Raw genomic sequence first — 22,563 nt, 5'->3', positions numbered from 1 at the left:
CTCCCGACCTCAGGTGATCCGCCCACTTCTGCCTCCCAAATTGCTGGAATTACGGGCATGAGCCACTGTGCCTGGACAAACAAAGGCATTTCTATGCCAGGTCGGTCTTGTTCCCTTATCTCAGTGAGCTGGAGGTTTGTACAAGTTTTTATCCAAATATGCCAGAGGTTTTTCTGTCTGTGCAGCCATGGGCAGGTCTCCAAGCACAACACCATGTGCTAGTTACCTTGTTAGTGTCTGCAGCTTGATTTTTTCCAGGATTCCTTTTATATTATGCAGGGATGAGACACTGACCCAAGGGCCAGGGACTTTCCAGGGACCCTTCTCTTGCTATCTAACTAAAGCAAGCTAACTAACTTGTTTCAGAATTAATGAGTATTCACTTTTACTTTTGTAAGACAAAAATTATCTAAAACCTATTGCAAAAAAAAATAGAACTATACTTACCACTTCTAAACCATATACTTAAAATGTTAGAAATGAAAATGGCATGTTTTTAACTACAATTAGAAATTTAGGACTACCTAAAAGGCACGGTTACAAAATCTTCAAACATCCCCTTCAAATAACAAAGGGTTCTTCTCACTTAATTATTTAGATTTAAACTATAAGTTGATTGTAAATTTAAGATTATTTCCCTGACTACTCACCAAGATAGAATAAAATAATCACTAGAAACCAAGAAAAGAGGGAAATTTATAGCACTAATGTCCACATCAAAAAGCTAGAAAGGGCCGGTCATGGTGGCTCATGCCTGTAATTCCAGCACTTTGGGAGGCTGGGGTAGGCAGATCACTTGAGACCAGGTGTTCAGGACCAGCCTGGCCAACAGCAAAACCATATCTCTACAAAAAAATACAAAAATTAGCTAGGTGTGGTGATTCACATCTGTAATCCCAGCTACTCAGGAGGCTGAGACAGCAGAAGTGACTTAAAACCGAGAAGTGGAGGTTGCAGTGAGCCGAGATTATGCCACTGTACTCCAGCCTGGGTGACAGAGTGAAACTCTCCCACAAGAAAAAAAAAAATTAGAAAGATCTAAAGTTAACAGCCTAACATCTTGGTTAAAAGAACAAGAAAACCAAGTGAAAACAAACCTGAAAGCTAGCAGAAGATAAGAAATAGCCAAGATCAGAGTAGAGCTGAAGGAGATAGAGACACTGAGAACTCTTCCAAAAAAAAAAAAAAAAAACTCAACCAATCCAGGAGCTGTTTTTATGAAAAAAAAAAAAATTTATAAACTAGATGGAACACTAGTTAGGCAAATAAATAAGAAAAGAAAGAACCAAACACAAATAGAAATAATAAGGGAGATATCATCACTGATCCCATGGAAATAAGAACAACGATCAGAGAATACTATAAACACCTCTATGCTCATAAACCAGAAAATCTAGAAGAAATGGACAATTTCCTTGCAAAATAAACTCTCTACAAGACTGAACCCTGAATAGATCAATAATGTGTTCTGAAATTGAGACAGTAAGAACTAGCCTACCAAGCAAGCTGAATTTGACTTGAGGTAAAGAGGAGATAGTACATTTTCTCCTAAAACTATCCAAAAAAAATTGAAGACAAAGAAGTTCTGTCTAACTCATTCTATCAGGCCAGCATCATCCTGATACCAAAACCTAACATAGATACAACAACAACAACAACAACACATCATGCCAATGTCTTTGATGAACACTGTGCAAACATCCTCAATAAAATACTGGCAAACCAAACCCAGCAGCACATTAAAAAGTGCATCCACCACAATGGAATTGGCTTTGTCTCCAGGATGCAAGGTTGATTCAACATATGCAAATCAACAAATGTGACTCATCACATAAAGAAAACTAAATAAAAAAACCACATGATTACCTCAATAGATGCAGAAAAAGCACCCAATAAAATTCAACATTCCTTCACGTTTAAAATTCTCAATAAATTAGGAACTGAAGAAACATACCTCAAAATAAGAAGAGCCATATACAACAAACCCACAGCCAATATCATACTGAATATGCAAAAGCTGGAAACATTCCCCCTGAAAACCGGCACAAGAAAAGTATGCTCTCTCTCACCACTCGCATTACAACTCCCATTCGGAAAACTTGTCCAGGAAAATCAGGCCAGAGGAAGAAATAAACAGTATTCAAATAGAAAGAGAGAAAGTCAAATTATCTTTGTTTACAGATGACCTGACCCTATATCTAGAAAGCCTCTTCGTCTCAGCCCCAAAGCTTCTTAAGGTGATAAGCAGCAGTAGCAAAATCTCAGGATATAAAATCAATCTGCAAAAGTAGCTAGCATTCCCATACACAAGCAACAGGCAAGCAGGGAGACAAATCATGAATGAACTTTCATTCACATTTGCTATAAAGAGAAAAAAATACCAAGGAATACAGCTAAGAAGGAAAGTGAAGGATATCTTCAAGGAGAACTACAAACAACTACTCAGAGGAATCAGAGTGGACACAAAACAAATGGAGAAACATTCCATGCTCACGGAGAGAAAGAATCAGTACCACGAATATGAGCATATTGCCCTAAGTAATTTATAGATTCAATGCTGTTCCCATTGAACTACTGACATTCTTCAGATAATTAGAAAAAAAAAACTTTTTAAAATTAAAATGGAACCAAAAAAGAGCCCAAATAGCCAAGCCAACCTTAAGAAAAAAAAAAAAAAAAGCTGAAAGGGTCATTGCCTAACTTCAAACTGTACTAGAAGAGTACAGTAACAAAAACAGCATGGTACTGGTATAGAAACAGACACATAGACAAATGAAACAAAATAGAGAGCATAGAAATAAAGCCAAAAACCTACAACAAACTGATCTTTGACAAAGTCAACAAAAACAAGGAATTAGGGAAAAGTCTCCCTATTCAATAAATAGTGCTAGGATAACTGGCTAGTCATGTGCAGAGAATTAAGACTGGAACCCTTCCTAACACCATAGACAAAAATTGACTCAAGATGGATTAAAGACTTGAATGTAAAACCCAAAACTATAAAAACCTTAGAAGAAAAAATCTAGAAAATACCATTCAGGATATAGTCATGAGGAAAGATTTGATGACAAAAAGACCAAAAGAAATAGCAACAAAAGCAAAAATTGACTAATGGGGTCTAATTAAACTAAAGAGATTCCACAGAGCCAAAGAAGCTATCATCAGAGCAGAGAAGCTAGAGAATGGGAGAAAAATTTTGCAACCTATTCATCTGACAAATATCTAATACCCAGAATCTATGAGGGACTTAAAATTTACAAGAGAAAAACAAACAACCCCATTAAAAAGTGGTCAAAGGACATGAACAGACATATCTCAAAAGAAGACATACATGTGCCCAACAAACATGGAAAGCTCAACATCACTGATAACTGGATAAATACACATCAAAACAACAATGAGATACCATCTCACACCAATTACAATGTCTATTAATAAAAAGTAAAAAAGAAATAAAAACAGATGCTGGTGAGGTTGTGGAGAAAAGGGAACACTTTTACACTGTTGGTGGGATTGTAAATTATTTCAAGCATTGTGGAAGAGAGTGTGGAGATTCCTCAAAGACCTAGAAGCAGAAATACCATTTGACCCAGCAATACTATTACTGGGCATACACCCAAAGGAATATAAATCTATTTTAAATAAACATGTATACATATGTTCATTGCAGCAATATTTACAATAGCAACGTCATGTAATCAATCTACATGCCCATCAATGATATACTGGATAAAGAAAATGTGGTACACATACACCATGGAACACTATGAAGCCATAAAATGTAATGAGATGATGTCCTTTGCAGGGACATGGTTGGAATTTGAAGCCATTACTCCCAGCAAACTAATGCAGGAACAGAAAACCAAACACCACCTATTATTATTCTAACTTATTAGCAGAAGCAGATCAATGAGAACACATGGACACATCAGGAAGAACAACACACACTGGACACCTGTTTCATGGCATGGGGGAGGGGAAGGAGAGCAGCAGGAAGAATAGCTGCGGATGCTGGGCTTAGTACCTGGGTGATGAGATGATCTGTGCAGTAAAGCACAATGGCACACGTTTATCTATGTAAGAGACCTGCATATCCTGCACATGGACCCCTAAACTTAAAATAAAAGTTGAAAAAAAAGCTTATCACATATGGACCACTGAACTTAAAATAAAACTTGAAAAAACATGAGTATGAGGTGGATTCCCTAGGTTAGACCCAAACTGAAGATCCTGAAGCTCCTGCTGGGGGATTTGGGGCTGGGGGCACCCTGGGGAGCTGCTGCCAAGGCCATCCACCGTCCCTACAGGCCGCCTCTCTTCCCGGCCTGTGATGGAAAGGAGAAGGGGTATGTGAACAGCTGTGGAAGTCAGACTCTCGGGAACTGAATCAGGCCCCAGCCCATGCCCCCCAGCCCAGTCCAGCCAACGTGCCCGCTGTCTTCCCACCCAGCCAGCCGAGCCCTCAGGATTGTTAGATGGAACCAGGCTCCATCACCACCCAGGCATGGAGGGAAGATGCCCTGGTCCTTAGCAAGCAAGGCCTGGTTTCCAAAGTGCTCTCCGAAGAGGCCTCATGTTTGTGACATCTTAGAAGGTACCTTTCTGCTGTTCTTGCACCCAGCATGTTGGCAAGTCAAGTTCCCCCACTGAGTTCTCCACACATAAGGAGGGAGTCAACACCATTGCTAAGTCGGATCAGCTCAAGTGTCTCCAGTATCAGTTTTATCAGATCCCAGGGACCTGCCTGCTCCCAGAGGTGACAGAGAAAAATCAAGGAACGATCTGTATGGTCACTGACATGGATGAAACCCTTGTGCATAGCTCCATTAAGCCAATCAGCAATGCTGACTGCCTAGTGACTGTAAAGATTGAGGGGACCATGAGGCCTTATATGGATGAGTTCCTGAGATGACTGGAGGAACTGTTTAAATGTGTTTTCTTCATTGCTCTCTTCATTCCAGACTGAACAAGTATGCAGATCCTGTTGAGAGGTGACAGCGTGCTGGCAGTCCTCACAACCCTTGCTCACTCTCCGGGCCTCCTCTGCCTGGGCTCCAACTTTGGCGGCACTTTAGGAGCCCTTCAGCCTGTCGCTGCACTGTGGGAGCCCCTTTCTGGGCTGGCCAAGGTCGGAGCCGGCTCCCTCAGCTTGCGACGAGGTGTGGAGGGAGAGGTGCGTGTGGGAACCAGGGCGGCGTGCAGTGCTTGAAGGCCAGCGCGAGCTCGGCGGACCCCACACTCGGAGCCGCCGGCTGGCCCCACCGGCCCCAGGCAGTGAGGGGCTTAACACCTCGGCCAGCAGCTGCTGTGCTCAATTTGTCGCTGGGCCTTAGCTGCCATCCCACAGGGCAGGGCTTGGGTCCTGCAGCCCGCCATGCCTGAGCCTCCCCCCCATCGGTGGGCTCCTGTGTGCCCAAGCCTCCTGGATGAGTGTCGCCCCCTGCTCCACGGCACCCAGTCCCATCAACCACCCAAGGGCTGAGAAGTGCGGGTGCACAGTGCCAGACTGGCAGGCAGCTACACCTGCAGACCCTGTGGGGGATCCACTGGGTGAAGCCAGCTGGGCTCCTGAGTCTGGTAGGGACGTGGAGAAACTTTGTGTCTAGCTCAGGGATTGTAAATACACCAATCGGCACTCTGTATCTAGCTCAAGGTTTGTAAACATGCCAATCAGCACCCTGTGTCTAGCTCAGGGTTTGTGAATGCACCAATCAACACTCTGTATCTAGCTACACTGGTGGGGATGTGGAGAACCTTTGTGTCTAGCTCAGGGATTGTAAACACACCAATCAGCGCCCTGTGAAAAAAGACCACTCGGCTCTAACAATCAGCAAGATGTGGGTGGGGCCAGATAAGGGAATAAAAGTAGGCTGCCCCAGCCAGCAGTGGCAACCCACTCGGGTCCCCTTCCACACTGTGGAAGCTTTGTTCTTTTGCTCTTTGCAATAAATATTGCTGCTGCTCACTCTTTGGGTCCACAATGCCTTTATGAGCTGTAACACTCACTGTGAAGGTCCACAACTTCACTCCTGAAGCCAGCGAGACCACGAACCCACCTGGAGGAATGAACAACTCCAGATGTGCCACCTTAAGAGCTGTAACACTCACCGCGAACGTCTGCAGCTTCACTCCTGAGCCAGCGAGACCACGAGCCCACCAGAGGGAAGAAACTCTCAACACATCCGAATGTCAGAAGGAACAAACTCCAGACATGCCACCTTTAAGAACTGTAACACTCACCGTGAGGGTCTGTGGCTTCATTCTTGAAGTCAGTGAGAACAAGAACCCACCAATTCCAGACACATTGTGATGGGTGTGCTGGACCAGTGTGAGGTGTTCTGGGGTTGCCTAGCCCATGAGTCACGTTTGTTCCACCAGGGCTGCTATGTCAATGACCTCAGCCATCTGGGGAGGGACCTGAGGAAAACTCTCATCCTGGACAACTCGCCTGCTTCTTACGTCTTCCACACAGAGAATGCAGTGCCTGTGCAGTCCTGGTTTGATAACATTCCAGACAGCAGCTGCTGCACCTGATATCAGTCTTTGAGGACATGAGTGGAGCAGAGGGCATCTATACTAGCCTTGGGCAGCAGTGGGCCCTTAGCCTTTCCTGCTTCCCAGCAATGGCCATCACAGTAGGGGATTTTCCCACACTGTGCCTTTATGATCAGCCTGAAAGAATGAAGCCTGGAACACCTACCCACATGGGCCTGGAAACAGTGAGAAGTGATTGAAAAGAGCTTTAGGACAGCTTAGATTCCCAGTGGGTGAATGCCAGACCAAGGATACCCAGAGCTACCTGCCATCAAGTTTTTGGGTTCCCAAGATTGGGTGTGAGAGAAAGAAAGAGAGCATGTGTGTTTTGTGATGAACTGTGGGCCCAATATATAGTGTTTCAGTAGGGGAGAAGCTGAAGGACAGAGACTCTTCCCAAGTTAGCTTTGTCTCCTCTCCTGTCACCCTATGAGACCCTGAGTTCCATAGGGATGAAGACTGTTGAAGGCTCCATTGCAAACCTGGTCTTTCTTCAGTGCTGCAAGGCCTATGCCAAGGAGAAAGGAAAAGTATGTCTTTGGGTGTTCCAGACACACATCTTTCTGAAATATTTCTCCAGCCAGTTGTTGCAGACAAAAGATGATATTTCTGGGAAGATGGGGACTTATGTCCAGACCAGTACCCAAACCATCAGGTCTTGTGGCCTAAAGGCTATGCTTACTTAAGTCCAGCCAAGTGCCTGGGATGGATCCTTTCTGCATCTCCTCAAGACTCACCACTTAGGCATAGCCTCAAACCTGTGGGGAAGGAAGTTGTCTCCCCACCCTGCAAGAGGACAAATAACTGATTTCTCTTCTTTCGACTCTGTTTTAAAATTCTCTTAAAAAAAAAAAAAGCCTATCTGAAACTGAAAAGAAAAAAACAAAAAAACAAGGAAAAAGATGTCATACTTACATAAGTGAAAAACATACAGATATATCTATAAGCAACAAACACAGCTAATTCACACATATATTAAACATCACATTGAGATAAAGTGTACCGAGCTAAAAATTATCTTTCAACTGATGATATCAAGCTTTAAAATAAAAATACATTTAACTGATCTGAGAAAACATAACTCCCAAGAAAAGAAACACAATAACACGGACTTGAAAATAAGAAGAGAGATTTTCGTGCATAAAATCCTGAATACAACATAGATTTACAATGGAAAATAACCGTTTTTTTTTTTATTTTTTTTTTTGAGACAGAGTCTTGCCCTGTTGCCCAGGCTGGAGTGCAGTGGCGCGATCTCGGCTCACTGCAAACTCTGTCCACTGAGTTCACGCCATTCTCCTGCCTCAGCCTCCTGAGTAGCTGGGGATACAGGCGCCTGCCACTATGCCCGGCTAATTTTTTGTATATTTAGTAGAGACGGGGTTTCACCATGTTAGTCAGGGTTGTCTCGATCTCCTGACCTCGTGATCCACCCGCCTTGGCCTCCCAAGGTGCTGGGAATACAGGCATGAGCCACCACAACCGGCCGAAAAATAATTCTTTAGATATCTACAGCATTCAACTGTGTGCACTCATGAAAAGCAGACAATTTAAGTCATTAGAATTTAATAAATTGCAGTAAAATTATACAGAAAATACATTACAATCATTAATAACAGGCTCTAATGAGAGGAATTTAATAAATAATCATTAAAAATACAGGATAATTTTATTATGTTCTCAATATGTTGCTGCACTTCTTACCACAAAACATAATAAAATTATATGACTATAATATAGATTTCAAGAGCTAAAAAAGCCTTATATTTCCAAATAAAAGAACAACATAAATTTTGCAAAATATGACGAGCATTACTGCAGTATAAAGTAAATATCTGGAATTAAAATATACCATCATTTAGATACAGACTAAAAAAAAGAATATAAATGTTAATGATTCCTTTCTGCCTGCAGTGAGCTTAAAATTACAACCAAAAATTTTAATAAATATGTAGCACCTACAAGACATTTTATTAATAGCTTACATAATGTGGAAATTTGAGCAATTTATTTTAGAATTTTTGAATCTAAAAATCACCAGCTTGACATTCATTTGAGAAAGTGAAACATAAAGGAGAGTAACATAAGCAAGACGACAGAATGGGAGGTTCGGCATGCACATCCCCCACAACATAATGCAGCTGCCACGGGAAACATAAGTGCATTCATGAAAGCCTTAGAATCCAGTTCAGAGTTTGTGACACCCAGCTGGAGGCAAAGACCAAGGAAGACATCTTTAGAGGGTAAGCACTTGACCAAGTGGCAAGCTTGCCAATCATGGTCCTCGGTTCAAAACAGAATACTACCACATCTTACTGTAAACTTGGCTATGACTCATTTGAACTTGGTCCTGCCACTGCAAAAATCTGTGAAAAACACAAAAGAATTCATACTCATCTGAGACTTAGGTGACAGGCCTGCAGAACTTGGTTCTCTCTATAGTCCCTGAATCAGGCAAAACACACCTTCTTTCCTTCTCCAGCCAAGGTCTGGAAGAAATCTTCACATTGATATGATGAAATGCTAACTAACAATATGAAAAATACTAAAGTATAAATGTCACTAAAAATGGTAAATACATACTGAAATTCAGAATACTCTAAATTGTTATCATCTTAAACTAGACTATTAAAATACAAGAGGTTTTACATAAGTCTCATGATAACCACTGGGGGAAAAAAAAACATAGTAAAGAAAAAGAGAAAGTAATTAAAGCATACACAAACAACAAAAATTACACATTGGATACAGTGGCTCCTGCTTATAATTCCAACACTTTTGGAGGCCAAGGTGGAAGAATCATAAGCTCCTTGGGTGTTGTGGTACATGTCCAAGTAGTCCAAGCTACTTGGGTGGCTAAGGGGGGAGGATTGCTTGAGCCCAGGAGATTGAGGCTACAGTGAGCTGTGATATGCCACTGAACTTCAGTCTGAGCAAGAAAGCATAACTTTGTCTCAACAAAAATGAACAATACCACAGGAAAGACAGAACCAGAAAAAAAAGAAGCAAACTTAAAATGGACAGAAAACTACAAATGTACAATAGTAACTGCTTACCTATCACTACCTTACAAATAAAAAGATTAAATTATCTACTAAACAGATACTTCTGTAGACTGAATGTCATCTCCAAAATTTAGGATAAAATGGCCAATGTGAAAGAATTAAGAGGTGGAACCTTTAAAAATTAATTAAGCTATAAGCACTCTGCCCTCATGAATGGATTAATGTTCTTATTATGGGAATGGGCTAATTTTAACAAGAATGGATCTGTTATATATTAAAAAAAAAAAAGCTGTCTCTCCCTCACATCTTTGGCCATGTTATTATCCAGCAACTAGACCTTCAACAGATACCAGTAACATGTTCTTTTACCTTCCCAGCCTCCAGAATCATGAGTCAAATAAAATTCTGTTCTTTATTAATTACCAGTCTGTGATATTCTGTTATAACAGCCAAAAGAGACTAAAGCAGACAGAGTGGATAAATGAAACTTTTAAACCTCGTAATATGCTGCTTACAAGAGACTCAATTATGAATTAAGAGCATAGGCTAAAAGTGAAAGGATAGAAAATGATATTCCATGCAAATAATAGCCAAAGGAGTTCAATGGTAGTTATGCTTAAATTAGACAAAATAGACTTTCTAGCAATGTCTCTCACAAGCATGAAATGAGTTTACCATACAATAATAATAGAGGTTAATTTGTCAAGTGAATATAGCTATATATATTTATGCACCCAAAAGGGAGGCTTCTAAATATAAAAAGCAAATATGGGCAGAACTGTAGGGAGAAGTAGAAAGAAATCCAATAATAGAAAACTTTAATGAAATGTATAATAAAGGACAAATAGTTAACAGCATTGTGAATTTGCAAGGGAAAGCTGTTCTCCTGTGTTGCATTTGAGAATGCAGCAAAGAAAGTGGGAACTGATAATTTTACCACAAGCCTGAGTTAGGCTGAAAAACAGGGTGGTCGATTAGAGGTTCCACTTGCCATATATTAAAAAAACACAGGAGAAAACCAGTCCTCCTCTGGAGTGTTAAAATAATTAAAGAGCAGAAAATTAGACTAAAGTGGCTCTAGTGTCCTGGGTTCATAGGTTAAAAAAAAAAAAACAAAAACTAAAACCTAACTCAAATACATTTCCTATAAAGCATTATCTTAGCCTGAAACAAAATGCACGTTTAACCAATGGCAAACATGCAATTAACCTCTGAATATGTAACCAGGACATTTCCATCTGGATAGTTCAAATAAGGTGACTACATAACTGGAACCAATTTTTGAATTTGGGCTGCTTTCTCATGCATCTTATGAAAGCCTTTCCTTTATGCCCCTCTGGTGGACCAGAAATCATGGCTGGGTGCTTTCCATTTCACCAATCACTGTTTGTTCAGATAAACTGGTTAACGTTTTAACATAGACTCCCGTTAATTTTTAACAAGAGAGACTGGGGACCCCACGGGCCGCAGCTCCTCCCACGCAAACACCCAGTGGCAGTTTTTCCCTGATGACCCACCAGGCCTCCCTGAACAATCTGGGAAATACTCATGGCTGTGGGCGCAGAGCAGGGCGCTGCCCAGGGACAGCACCGGATGGGCCAGGCCGGATGTGGGGGTCCTCGATGCTGGCCCAGCGGCCATCTTGCAGCCACAGGGGACTGAGGGCCAAGCTGCGGGAGACTCGGAGCTAACCGTGGGGGCCGGTCCTGCCGGTTTCACAGCCTGCTGTCCCCTCTCGGGATGCCGAACCCCGTATACTCACCATTTCCCAGCTTCCAGGATGTCCTGTCATCTTAACTGTGCGTCCCCAAGGACCTACAGATCACAGGGCAACAGGGGCTGTGAAAGAGTAGCCCGGGGCTCCCAAAGCGGAGGAGGCGAAAGAGGAGACGGATCCCAAGTTCCTGTGCCAGCGCCAGCAAGAGACAAAGACCCGCCAAACGCCAGAAGCCACGCCCTCCTCTCCTGTCCTCTCCAACTGCGCGCCTGATTGGGCTGTTCCCACATCAGTGTCAATGACTGGATAAAACTCCAGGACTCACCCACCCCCGCCTGACTCCTGCCCCTACCCCCACTCCCCCTCAGCCTTAGTGCATTTTTGTTAGTTTGTTTTACTTTAAGTTCTGGAATACATGTGCAGAACGTGCAGGTTTGTTACATAGGTTTACATGTGCCATGGTGGTTTGCTGCTTCTATCAACCTGACGTCTAGGATTTAAGCCCCATATGCATTAGGTATTTGTCCTAATTTTCTCCCTCCCCTTGACCTCAACACCCTAACAGGCCCCAGTGTGTGATGTTTTGTTCCCGGTGTCCATGTGTTCTCATTGTTCAACTCCCACATATGAGTGAGAACATATGGTGTTCTGTTTCCTGTTCCCGTGTTAGTTTGCTGAAGAGAATGGTTTCCAGTGTCATTCACGTCCCTGCAAAGGACATGAACTCATTCTTTTTATGGCTGAATATTATTTCATGGTGTATATGTGCCACATTTTCTTTTTCCAGTCTATCAATGATGGGCATTAGGTTGGTTCCAAGTCTTTGTTATTGTAAACAGTGCTGCAATAGATATATGAGTGCATGTGTCTTTATGCTAGAATGATTTATATTCCTTTGGGTATATAACCAGTAATGAGATTGCTGGGTCAAATGGTATTTCTGGTTCTAGATACTTAGGGAATCACCACACTGTCTTCCATAATGGTTGAAGTAATTTACACTCCCGCCCCCAGCAGTGTAAAAGCGTTTCTATTTCTCCATAGCCTCATCAGCATCTGTTGTTCCTGACATTTTAATAACTGCCATTCCAAATGGTGTGAGATGGTATCCCATTGTGGTTTTGATTTGCATTTCTCTAATCATCAGTGATGATGAGCTTTTTTCTTTTTCCTTTTTGTGTGTTTGTTGACCACATAAATGTCTTCTTCTTCTTCTTCTTCTTCTTCTTCTTCTTCTTCTTCTTCTTCTTCTTCTTCTTCTTCTTCTTCTTCCTCTTCTTCTTCTCCTTCTTCCTTTTCTTTTTATTTATTTTATTTATTATTATTTTAAAGACGGAGTCTAGCTCTGTCACCCAGGCTGGAGTGCAGTGGCAGGATCTCAGCTCACTGCAACATCTGCCACCCAGGTTCAAGTGATTCTCCTGCCTTATCCTCCCAAGAAGCTGGAATCACAGCCACCCGCCAAAACACCATGCTAATTTTTTGTGTTTTTAGTAGAGACATGGTTTCACCATGTTGCCCAGGCTAGTCTTGAACACCTGACCTCATGATCCACCTGCCTCCATGGCTGAAAGTGCTGGGATTACAGGCTTGATCAACCACGCCCAGCCAAATGTCTTCTTTTGAGAATAGTCTGTTCATATTCTTTACTCACTTTTTGATGTTTTTTTTTTGTGTGTGTGTGAAATTAAGTTCCTTGTAGATTCTGGATATTAGACCTCTGACACATGGATAGATTGCAAAAATTTTCTGTCATTCTGTAGGTTGCCTGGTCACTCTGATGATAGATTCTTTTGCTGTGCAGAAGCTCGTTAGTTTAATTAGATCTCATTTGTCAATTTTAGCTTTTGTTGTGATTGCTTTTGGTATTTTATTCCTGAAGTCTTTGCTCATGCCTATGTCCTGAATGGTATTGCCTAGGTTTTCTTCTAGGGTTTTTGTGGTTTGGTGTTTTATATTTAAGACTTTAATCCATCTTGAGATAATGTTTGTATAAGATGTAAAGAAGGGGTCCAGTTTCTGTTTTCTGAATGTGGCTAGCCAGTTCTTTCAGCACCATTTGGTAAGTAGTAAATCTTTCTCCATTGCTTGTTTTTGTCAGGTTTGTTAGAGATCAGATGGTTGTAGATGTGTGATGTTATTACTGAGGCCTCTGTTCTGTTCCATTGGTCTATATATCTGTTTTGGTATTAGTACTGTGCTGTTTTGGTTACTGCAGCCTTGTAGTATAGTTTGAAGTCGGGTAGCAAGATGCCCCAAGCTTTGGTGTTTTTGCTTAGGATTGTTTTGGGTTGACAGGCACACAGGCTCGTATAGTTGGGGTCACCTGCCCAGAGTATCACAGCTAATTAAGAAGTGAGCTGAGACTTGAAATGCACATGCTCCTTCCCTTACCTGGGTCTGTTGTATAATGCATCTTAGCAGCTATTTAACAGTAGGAATTAGAACATTTGGACATCTTTTTAACAACTTTTTAACCTGCATTTTGATAATGCAGGAAAGACCTTCATCCCGTCCCTGAGCCCCTCTCTCACCACGCTACATCCCACTGCTGACCACATTGTAGGGTAGCCATTAGGAATCAGGCGGGCAGTGGGGGCTGGGAATAAATAAGCAAGGATTATGCTGCCCAAATTTGCTCATCTTAGAAAGTCTCCTCAACCATTCTGTGTGAAGTGATTATTCCAGGGTAATTGTGGCCTGACTGCGCTGCATGTCAGTCTGACTTGTCTTTTTGAAAATCACTGGATTACTCTCATGAACGGGGGTATTTCTCTTTCTATTTGAAAACGGCCAACTGTCCTCTGCAGGTGTCCTGATTTGCTAGTTTAGACCCTGAAGGTAGCGGTGAGAAAATATTTGGGCCACAACAGAATACCTATTCTCAGCTGGAAGATATATAGAAATTTCTTAATAATATCTAACCATTTTCTCAATAACCATTATATTTAACATTGATAGCTTGGAGGGCAGGGAAGGACACAGATGACACAATCTTCAAAGTTTATTTATAAGTTTTTTTTTTTTTGTTCTTGTTTAGTTTTGCTTAGTTTTTGGATACAAGGTCTTGTTCTGGTGCCCAGGGTGGAGGGCAGTGGCATAATGATAACTCATAATTTGGTTGTAACGGTTCTTTAAAATATATTTTTGCTGAGAGTGCTAGCTCACACCTGTAATCTAAACACTTTGGGTGGTCAAGGTGGGATTATCGTTTGATCCCAGGAGTGCAAGACGAGTCTGAGCAACATAAGTAGGCTCAGTCTCTAGAAAAATATTTAAAAATTGTCTGGGTGTAGCTTTGCATGCCTGTAGTCCCAGCTACTTGAGAGGCTGATTTGAAAGCATCACTGGAGCCTAAGAATTTGAAGATGCAGTGACCCATGATTCAGCCACTGCATTGACAGAGTGAGATATGTGTGTGTGTGTCTGTGTGTGTGTATAAAGAATTTGTATGTGAAAAAAATTCAAGCACAGGATAAAAGTGAAAGCCCATGGTGGGGGATGTGGAGAAAGGTCAGTGTGGCTCCAGCAACTCAGTGAGACTTGGTTTTCCATCTTGAAGAATTGCCCATCCACACTGACACCATAGCCTAACATATGCCAGTTCTCACACTACACCTGCTGGGATACCAGTATGTAGCCTTTTGAAAAAAATAAAATCTTTCACCTAAGAGAAGGACAAGAGAAAACGAGGGTTTCACATCTAAAGCCTTCATTTTCTTTATGAATCAACAGCCACTTGTCATTTCAATTGTCCAGAGGCGACTGACAGCACCAATACACTTAATGAATCAACCAGGAAAAATGGGCCTCTCAGGTGAGGAGGAGGCACAATGGTCACAAAACCCAATCCGTTCTCAGCTTTGCATGGTGCTCGCATCTCAAGAAGTGGTGTTAGCCATGTGAACCGTGTTCACTGGACAAGGCCAGAGGAAAGAATATTTAGTACAACACAACTATGGGGCTGCAAATCAAACTGGTAGTGAGAGCATGCATGAGGCTTCAGTGGCCGAGACACTGGTGGCTACCCTTCGGTGTCACTTAAACCTTTGAGGTGAAGGACGTTTATTTTCCCCAATTGGCTCAGAGAAACTAATCAACATTAATATTGAGATTTGTTTTTCTTTTCAAAATTTCTAAGACACAGAGGACTCTAACACTCCAAAAGACATTCAGATATTCTTGCAGCTGAGGACTTGACTGCTCTGTAGAGGGATGGCAGAGCAGCAGCCACCAGCTTTAAGAGCTTTAAGCTCCTCCTCTTATAGGGAAAGGCCACCCCCACACAACCCCCCTAACTTCATAGGCTCTGGCTGTTAGGTGCACCTGGGGGACTGTCTTCCTCCCATCTCATTAGCTCTCCAAGACAGTTCAGCTCAATCTAAAACCTACCCTAAGATGGCGGTATGTAGACTCTCCTCCATTCTCCCAGCGCAGTGTGACTTCTGGAGAGTGCTCCCCCATCGTCTTACCTCAAATGATGTGAAAAGAGCTGGTTCCCGGGTAGTTAGATGTTCAGTGACCTAACAGGCCCAGCATGCGCAGGGCCTGGCCCCACAGCCTGGCACCTCTCTCCTACCTGGCCTTCACTTCGACCTTTTCTCTTCTGTCACCAATGTCAGGTGATGGTCACCAGTGCCACACTCTCATGAGCTTGGTAAGTAGCAGGGGTGTAAACCCCAACAGATTTCCTGTGACTCTACCCTCTTACCTCCCACTCAAGTGACATTATAAGCATAATTTTATATTTGATCTAATTTATGCATAACCTTTTTATAACATTTCTGACAACAGCCCACACAACCACATGAGTCTGGGTTACAGAACACACGGGCGAGGCTCGGGTAGCAGGTTTCACTTACTTTATTCCAATGTGAAATGAAGATTGATGATTTAAAAACAAGACAAAGTTGTTTATCAGCTGTGGGGTGGCTACACTTGCTAGCTCATGCTCACTTCCTTTGAAACAAGGTATCTGGACAGACCATATTCATAAGTAAGACTTCGCAAAACCTCAGACAGAAGTTCCAGTCAGACACAGCTCCCTCAGGCTCACAGGGTGGCAACCGCCTCCATGTTAGGCTCTGACAGCAGGCAAGGAAAGGAGCACAGGCAGCAGGGGACAGGGAGGGTCCGGGACTGTAGGGATCCCCAAATGCCCCAGAGCTATTCTCTGTAGAAGGGCACACGCAGGTCTCACTGTGTCAGTGCAGTGGCTGAATCATGGGTCACTGCAGCCTCAATCTCTTAGGCTCCAGTGATGCTTTCACCTCAGCCTCTCAAGTAGCTGTATGGCAAAAAGCCTCCTACTTTTTACTTAAAACCTGGACTTTAAGCCAGGTTGGGCCTGGGAATAGTGGCAGCAAAAGCAGCAGCCAAATGTATACACTTCAGATGTCTACACTCATGGGCACAGGCATATTCCACACTTGCTGGAACACGAGACGCCTGAGAGGCACCTGTTTCCCAGCTACTAACTGATGTCCACACACCCCATTCACGTGTCTTCATTTAGGTCTCTGCATCGTATATTTGCTCAGCCAGTGCAAACACATCTTCTAGGGGGCAACATTAATTGCAGCACCTGCCCCACTTGTTCTGGGAGGGAGTCAAGAGGAATCTGGTCAGCTCCTAATCCCCCAGGACAAAGGTGATGCCCCCTTTTCAGGACTTACATCCAGCAGCGTCATCTCGGGATGGGTTTTTCAAACACAAGCAGCATGAGGTAGCAAGCATGGTGTGACAGGCTCAGGGCCATGGGCAGCCGGCTTCTGGAGAAGCAGCACAGGGCAGGCACATCTGTGGGTGGCACCATGACAAGCCAAGACAGCCTCAGCCCCTAATCCCAACAGCTCCAGCCCAGATGGCATTCAAATCTTCCCGGATAATATGGGGGTGCCCGATGCCCATCACTCGCCCTCTCATTAGCACGGCCTTGTTGGTTACTCAGGGACTAAGGAGAGGGGGTGGGGGATGTAGATCCAGGGTGGGCACTGCCTCACAGCCAGAGTCCACCTGACTGCAGGCCAGCAAGCAAGCCCAAGCAGCTCAGCTCTAGTCACCTCTGGCTGCACTTTTTATGTGTAATTTACACAAAGGCAGCAAAAGGAGGTCAACATTAGCTGTTGTGACATGAAAGTCTATGCCTCATTAAGACCTTAAAATGCTATTGTCTTAAGCTCTCTTTACTCTAATAAAATTTATACAAATAAACACATACAAGGTGAACTACTATAAAGGAAATATTAGGATTTTTTAAACCCATAAACAGACATGAAAACAGTCACTGTTTGATTGCAGAGAAAGTGAGCTTCTAAAGCACCTGACCACAAAACAGCCTCACCAAACCCCAGGCAGGCCAGGCAGTCTGAACACTACAAGGCCACGTGATGGTCACAGAGGATGACAGCTCCCATGAGTATTGCAAGGCACTGTGTTAGCTTCTCACTCACAGTCTCAGAATACCCTGTGAGGGGAGGCCCCGTCTCACTAGAGCACAGGAGGTTCCTGAGCTCTTCCCAGAAAATGGTCATCAAACGATGGAGCAGGGGGAAGCCCAGACAGAACAAGTGAGTCCCTAGGGTCTCCTTAACCTCCCTCAGCTCCTCCACATGGGTTCCTGAGGGAAAGTGAGCAGTCTCCTAACCCCTTTGTTAGGGTTCCAGTCCTGCAGGTCTGGACTCTCTCATTTTATGCTACCATAGGGGATGACAATGCAACCCCAGGCTCCTTTTTTGCCATCCCTCAATGCCAGGCCAGGCCCAGAGCCATTTGCTGACACAGCCCAGGGGATGCTCAAGGCCCACCTCGGCACAGTCACCTGTAGTGTACTGAGATGAGCAAGGAGGTGCAAGTAGACACAAATCCCCATGGGCTTGGCCTCAGCTATGTTCCACAGGCTCAGGGCCTCGCAGAAGAGCTCACAGCCCTCCTTCAGGAAGCCTGCAGATCACACCCTCAGGGAGCAGTGCTCAGATGAGCAGGCAGGCCCCACATCCCCCACCCCATGACGCTCTGTTCCACTTTGCAGGCTTCTGCATTGGCCAGTCCCCACTGCTTTCTGGTGAGATGTCCGAGTTGAAGTGAGTGTTGAATGCCACACAGCTGATGGAGCTCACTGCCTTGCACATGTTGTAAAACACCTCCTGGTTACAAGGGTCAGCTGTGGAGACACAGCTTGATGGGAGGTAGGCCCACTCCACCATCAGTAGTGCTGGGTTGCCCTGATCTGCACCTTCCAGATACTTGCTGAGATATCTGCATGCTTCTCTAAGGGACTGGGTCACGAGACACCCCTGGCAAGGACCAGCTGGCAGAACAGGCTGGACACTCTCCTTCAGCCTCCCCAGCAGCCCTACCTGTGCTGTCATCTGTGCTGATGATCTCCGTGGTAAGATTATGGGAAACTTTTACAGCAAGTTTTCCTTTCTCACTTCCCTATCTTAATAACAGCACTGATAACTTTTAAGCCCTAGAAAGCTGGAACTGCAAGACACATGATCTTCTGCCTTAGAAGGTCCATGTTTGGGCAGTGTGTGCCCAGGTGAGAGCCCCATGGTTGTTAGTGGAAGCCGGGAGCTGGATGGGCCTGGCCCCATAGCCTAGTGAAAAGTGGGACCCTCTCCTTCCAGAGCATGGAAGTCTCAGAGGCTGGAAAAAGGTGCCTGAGTGGCCTGCCAAAAAGCATAAGGCTAGAAGGGCTGGAAGGAACCCCAACAGTCTTCAAGGTGCCTGAGAGGGCTGGGCTCATTCCAGCTTTCTTTGCTTTCATCCTGATAGCAAGAAAACCTGCTCACACATGGCAGGCGGGCCTGAGGCTACCATTCCCTCATCAGGGGCTATAGGCACTTTAATGTGGCTCTTTCTTGAAGCAGCTGCTCAGGCCGGTTCTCGAAGAGAAGTTCCCTCATTATCCACAGGTTCTTGTTCCAGCCCCGTGTCTGCAGAGGGACTAGGGAGGGAGAAAATCTCTCAGCCTGTGCCCCACAACCTGCTCTGAGATATCTCTTTTGTTACTTCCTCACGGACAGCATCAAACTTCCAAATGAACAGACCAGCATGGAGCCTCCAGAAAAGTGCACAGAATTCTGTCTAGTACCCAGATGGAAGGGGGTTCCCAGTGAGGGCAGGGCCAGGCTGCATGCACCTCTTCAGGAATGTTCTCCTCATTGTCCAACTTCAAGGTGTGCATCCTCTGTGTGTATGCAGTCCATGGCAGGCTCTGCCTGGGGAACCGTCCAGCTGAACACCTGCAATGTGGTGGTGACCCTCTTGAATGAGTGGTTGTGGGCCCCATGGCAGTCATCAGAGAGGGAGATGCTTAGCCCACCAAGCCGAGAGCCCTGCCACAGCCTTCTGTGAGGCCTCCATCTGCTCTGGGTTCTTGCCCTGAAAGGCTGTCCTGAAGTCAAACAGAAGAAGGTGGGCCTCTCTTCCAGGGCTGCTCTTTATCCCACTGACAGCTCCCTAGAGGGCGACTAAGACAGCGGGGACAGATTCCTCAGGCAGAAGGACTGGAGTTTAGGCTGACGGGTTCATTCCATACCCCCACATGAGATGACACAAGGCAGGGGCTGTGGGACAAAGGCATTGCCTTTCCTTCTGGGATGAGGAATGGCATAGGAGACAGGGTATGGTGGGGCTGGGGTTGAGCGATGGGCTTCACTGAGTAAGTGTCCTGGTTATCTGTCCACAGACCCAGAACAAGTGGCATCCCAGGAGCCTGGGAGGGGCTGGCAGAGACTTACTGGTTCCAGCAAAAGCCCATGTGGATGCAGCAATGCTGCCTGCTGGTCCTTGGCTGTAATTACAAACAGGTACTTGAGGTCCCCATGCATCTTGCAGCTCTCAGAGAGTGTGTTCCAGCTGCTCATGGTAGGCACTTTTAGTCACTGAACGTGCTTCAGGAATGGCCAAGCTTGATTAAGCCAGGCGTCTTGCTGTGAGACCCTCCACCCAACTGAGGACCCTCTTCCTTGTTCCCCCTGGCAGTTTCACCTTCCAGTTCTGGTTCTAGAGACACGATGGCCCCTCTTGGGCCCCTGGGAGAATGTGCTCAGGTGACACACTGTCGACAGGGCCCATTTCCAAGCCATTCTTCCATTTCCCACTGTTTGAGGGGCTGAGGCCGGTGATCAGCACAGGGCCACCCAGGGCCAGCTGTCTGCACCTAAACATCATGCTGGTCTGGATGTCTCAGGGCCAGAACTCTCCAGGTGAGATGGCCTGGTCCTCAGCACCTGGCCTCCGTGCTCCTTTTTCCTCTGTTCAATCCTGGCCCCAATGCCTCCCGCAACTCTCAGGTCACCATTGGAGAAGATGCTCAGGAAGAACAAGAAGCTGCAGTCAACCCTGCTGAAGGTGGCATATGGGTCCAGGCTCTTGAGCTGGTCTTCGACATGGTACATGTGGATGCAGGCTTTGAGCAGTGTGAGTAGCTCTTTCCGGAAGGAGGGGAAAACGGTGTTTCCAGGGTCCTACACCCTAGAACGACCCATCTAGCACAGAAAACAGTTTGCAACGTGCTATCATGTGTGATTTTAATTTTCAACTTTAGGCTTTCATTTTCAATTTCCACAATAAACACATAAGGTGGGGTTCTGATTTCAACACACACACATTCTCTCTCTCTCCCTCTCTCTTAGAATCTTCCAGTGCGTTCACACTGAAAGCCAAAGTCCTCCCAGAATCTTGTGAGAACCTAAATGATCTGAATAGTTTGTCATTGATTTTGGGGATCTGGGAAAATCTCTGCACATTTCTGGAGACCGCTGTTATGCCAATTTTAATAAATCTGTTGTGCTTCAATTCAGAAGTGTGTGAAGGGAGTTGTGGAGGAATTGGCATTTGGGTTAGAAATTCCAGGAACACCAGAGACAGATGACACCTGTTTTCTGCTTCATAATGTCAAGTTTTACGATGGCTAAAACCTAATTCTACAAGAAAATTAGACTGAAAAACTTTATAGGCAAAAATTATCTTATTAAATAGGAAAATCTAAGTATTTTATTTTAAAATTTCCTTTTTCTTAGTAGGACCTAATCATAGAAATGTAAACTCTATATGCCAACAGCCTCTACTGTAGGATGGTTTATTGTATGTACTCATTTTACTGATTTCTTACAAAAACTTTTTCCGTAAGGGAAATTAGAATATTGTTCAACATATATTGAATTCACAATTATTACTTTATTTCTCACTTAGTATTTTATGATTCTGTCTTCTTTAATATGAAGATTACTATGACTGTGTTTTCACTTTCTGAATTATCATGTGTCACATTTGTCTGTAATTTCCTTTCAGAAGTTGTAAAATAGCATGCTCAAATGTATATATTATGTATAAATTATATAATTTATAATTTATTAAAATATTTGGCTTGTATGTTTAATTGACTCTAGGCACAATGTTACTATTAGCATCTTCTTCCAGTTTTCCCAACTTTTATTTGACTAATAGTACAATTTATTTCCAATTTTTATTTTATATGTCAATGTTTTATACTGTATTTACAATATTTATATTGTTACCATATTTAGAAATGTAAGACTTTTCAATTAAAAGCTAGATTACAGCCTTATCGTTTTGTGTAAGAAAAGCAGCAATGCATCAGTAGCATAATTTAAAACTTTCTCTAGTATTACTTAAATGCTTATTCCTTAAAACTTTCTCATCACAGCTCTTTGTATTAATTATAATGTGTTTTCTCTGAAATGTTGTTGCCCTAACTGTATCCAAATAATTCAAAATTCATACTTTTCATAGATTCACAGGAAGAGTTAAAAATTGTAGTTACCTGGGATTCTTTTTCATTTGGACACTATGTTTATTCAGGATTTTATGGATTAAAGTTTCTCTTAATTATGTTTTATAATTTTATGTTTCTGTATTTTTTAGAGTAGGCTGTCTCACATCAGTTAATTGTGTTTTTACTTTCTACCTATTTATTATGATTTTGAATTTCATTATTCAAATAAGAATTTGGGGGTTAATGTTTATTTTAACTTTGTTTTGCAATTTTACATTTCTGTGTTTCATGTTTTAGGGTAGGGCACCTTATATTAGTTTATTGTTTTAAGTTTTAATTTGTATAATATAATATTGTATAACAATATTCAACTCTGTATGCATTAAGACAGTGTGGGGCAGAAGTCAAATATGAACCATCCCTATGTCTTTTGTTAATACAATGATTTAACTGTTTGTTTGCCTGTATAAATATTGCCCCTATTTTGTTTATGACTTTTATATTTTCTTCTTATTTGATGGCCAATAATTTATTCTGTCTAAGTGAGTAATCATGGAAAT

General features: G+C 43.3%; 1 long non-coding RNA gene across 1 annotated transcript in view; it reads right to left on the bottom strand.

The window, feature by feature from the left end:
* LINC03104 (long intergenic non-protein coding RNA 3104) overlaps window positions 1-11,503 on the bottom strand; it is a 38,368-nt gene extending 26,865 nt beyond the window's left edge. The window contains exon 1 of the long non-coding RNA NR_170984.1: window positions 11,302-11,503. This is a non-coding gene — a long non-coding RNA (long intergenic non-protein coding RNA 3104). The remainder of the gene's footprint in view (window positions 1-11,301) is intronic.
* Between the last annotated feature and the right edge of the window lie 11,060 nt (window positions 11,504-22,563).

This window comes from Homo sapiens, chromosome 21 (genome assembly GCF_000001405.40).
Source record: "Homo sapiens chromosome 21, GRCh38.p14 Primary Assembly".
NCBI classification, from domain to species: domain Eukaryota; kingdom Metazoa; phylum Chordata; class Mammalia; order Primates; family Hominidae; genus Homo; species Homo sapiens.
The sequence above is the reverse complement of the archived record's forward strand: the minus strand, read 5'-3'. Positions and strand labels throughout refer to the sequence as shown.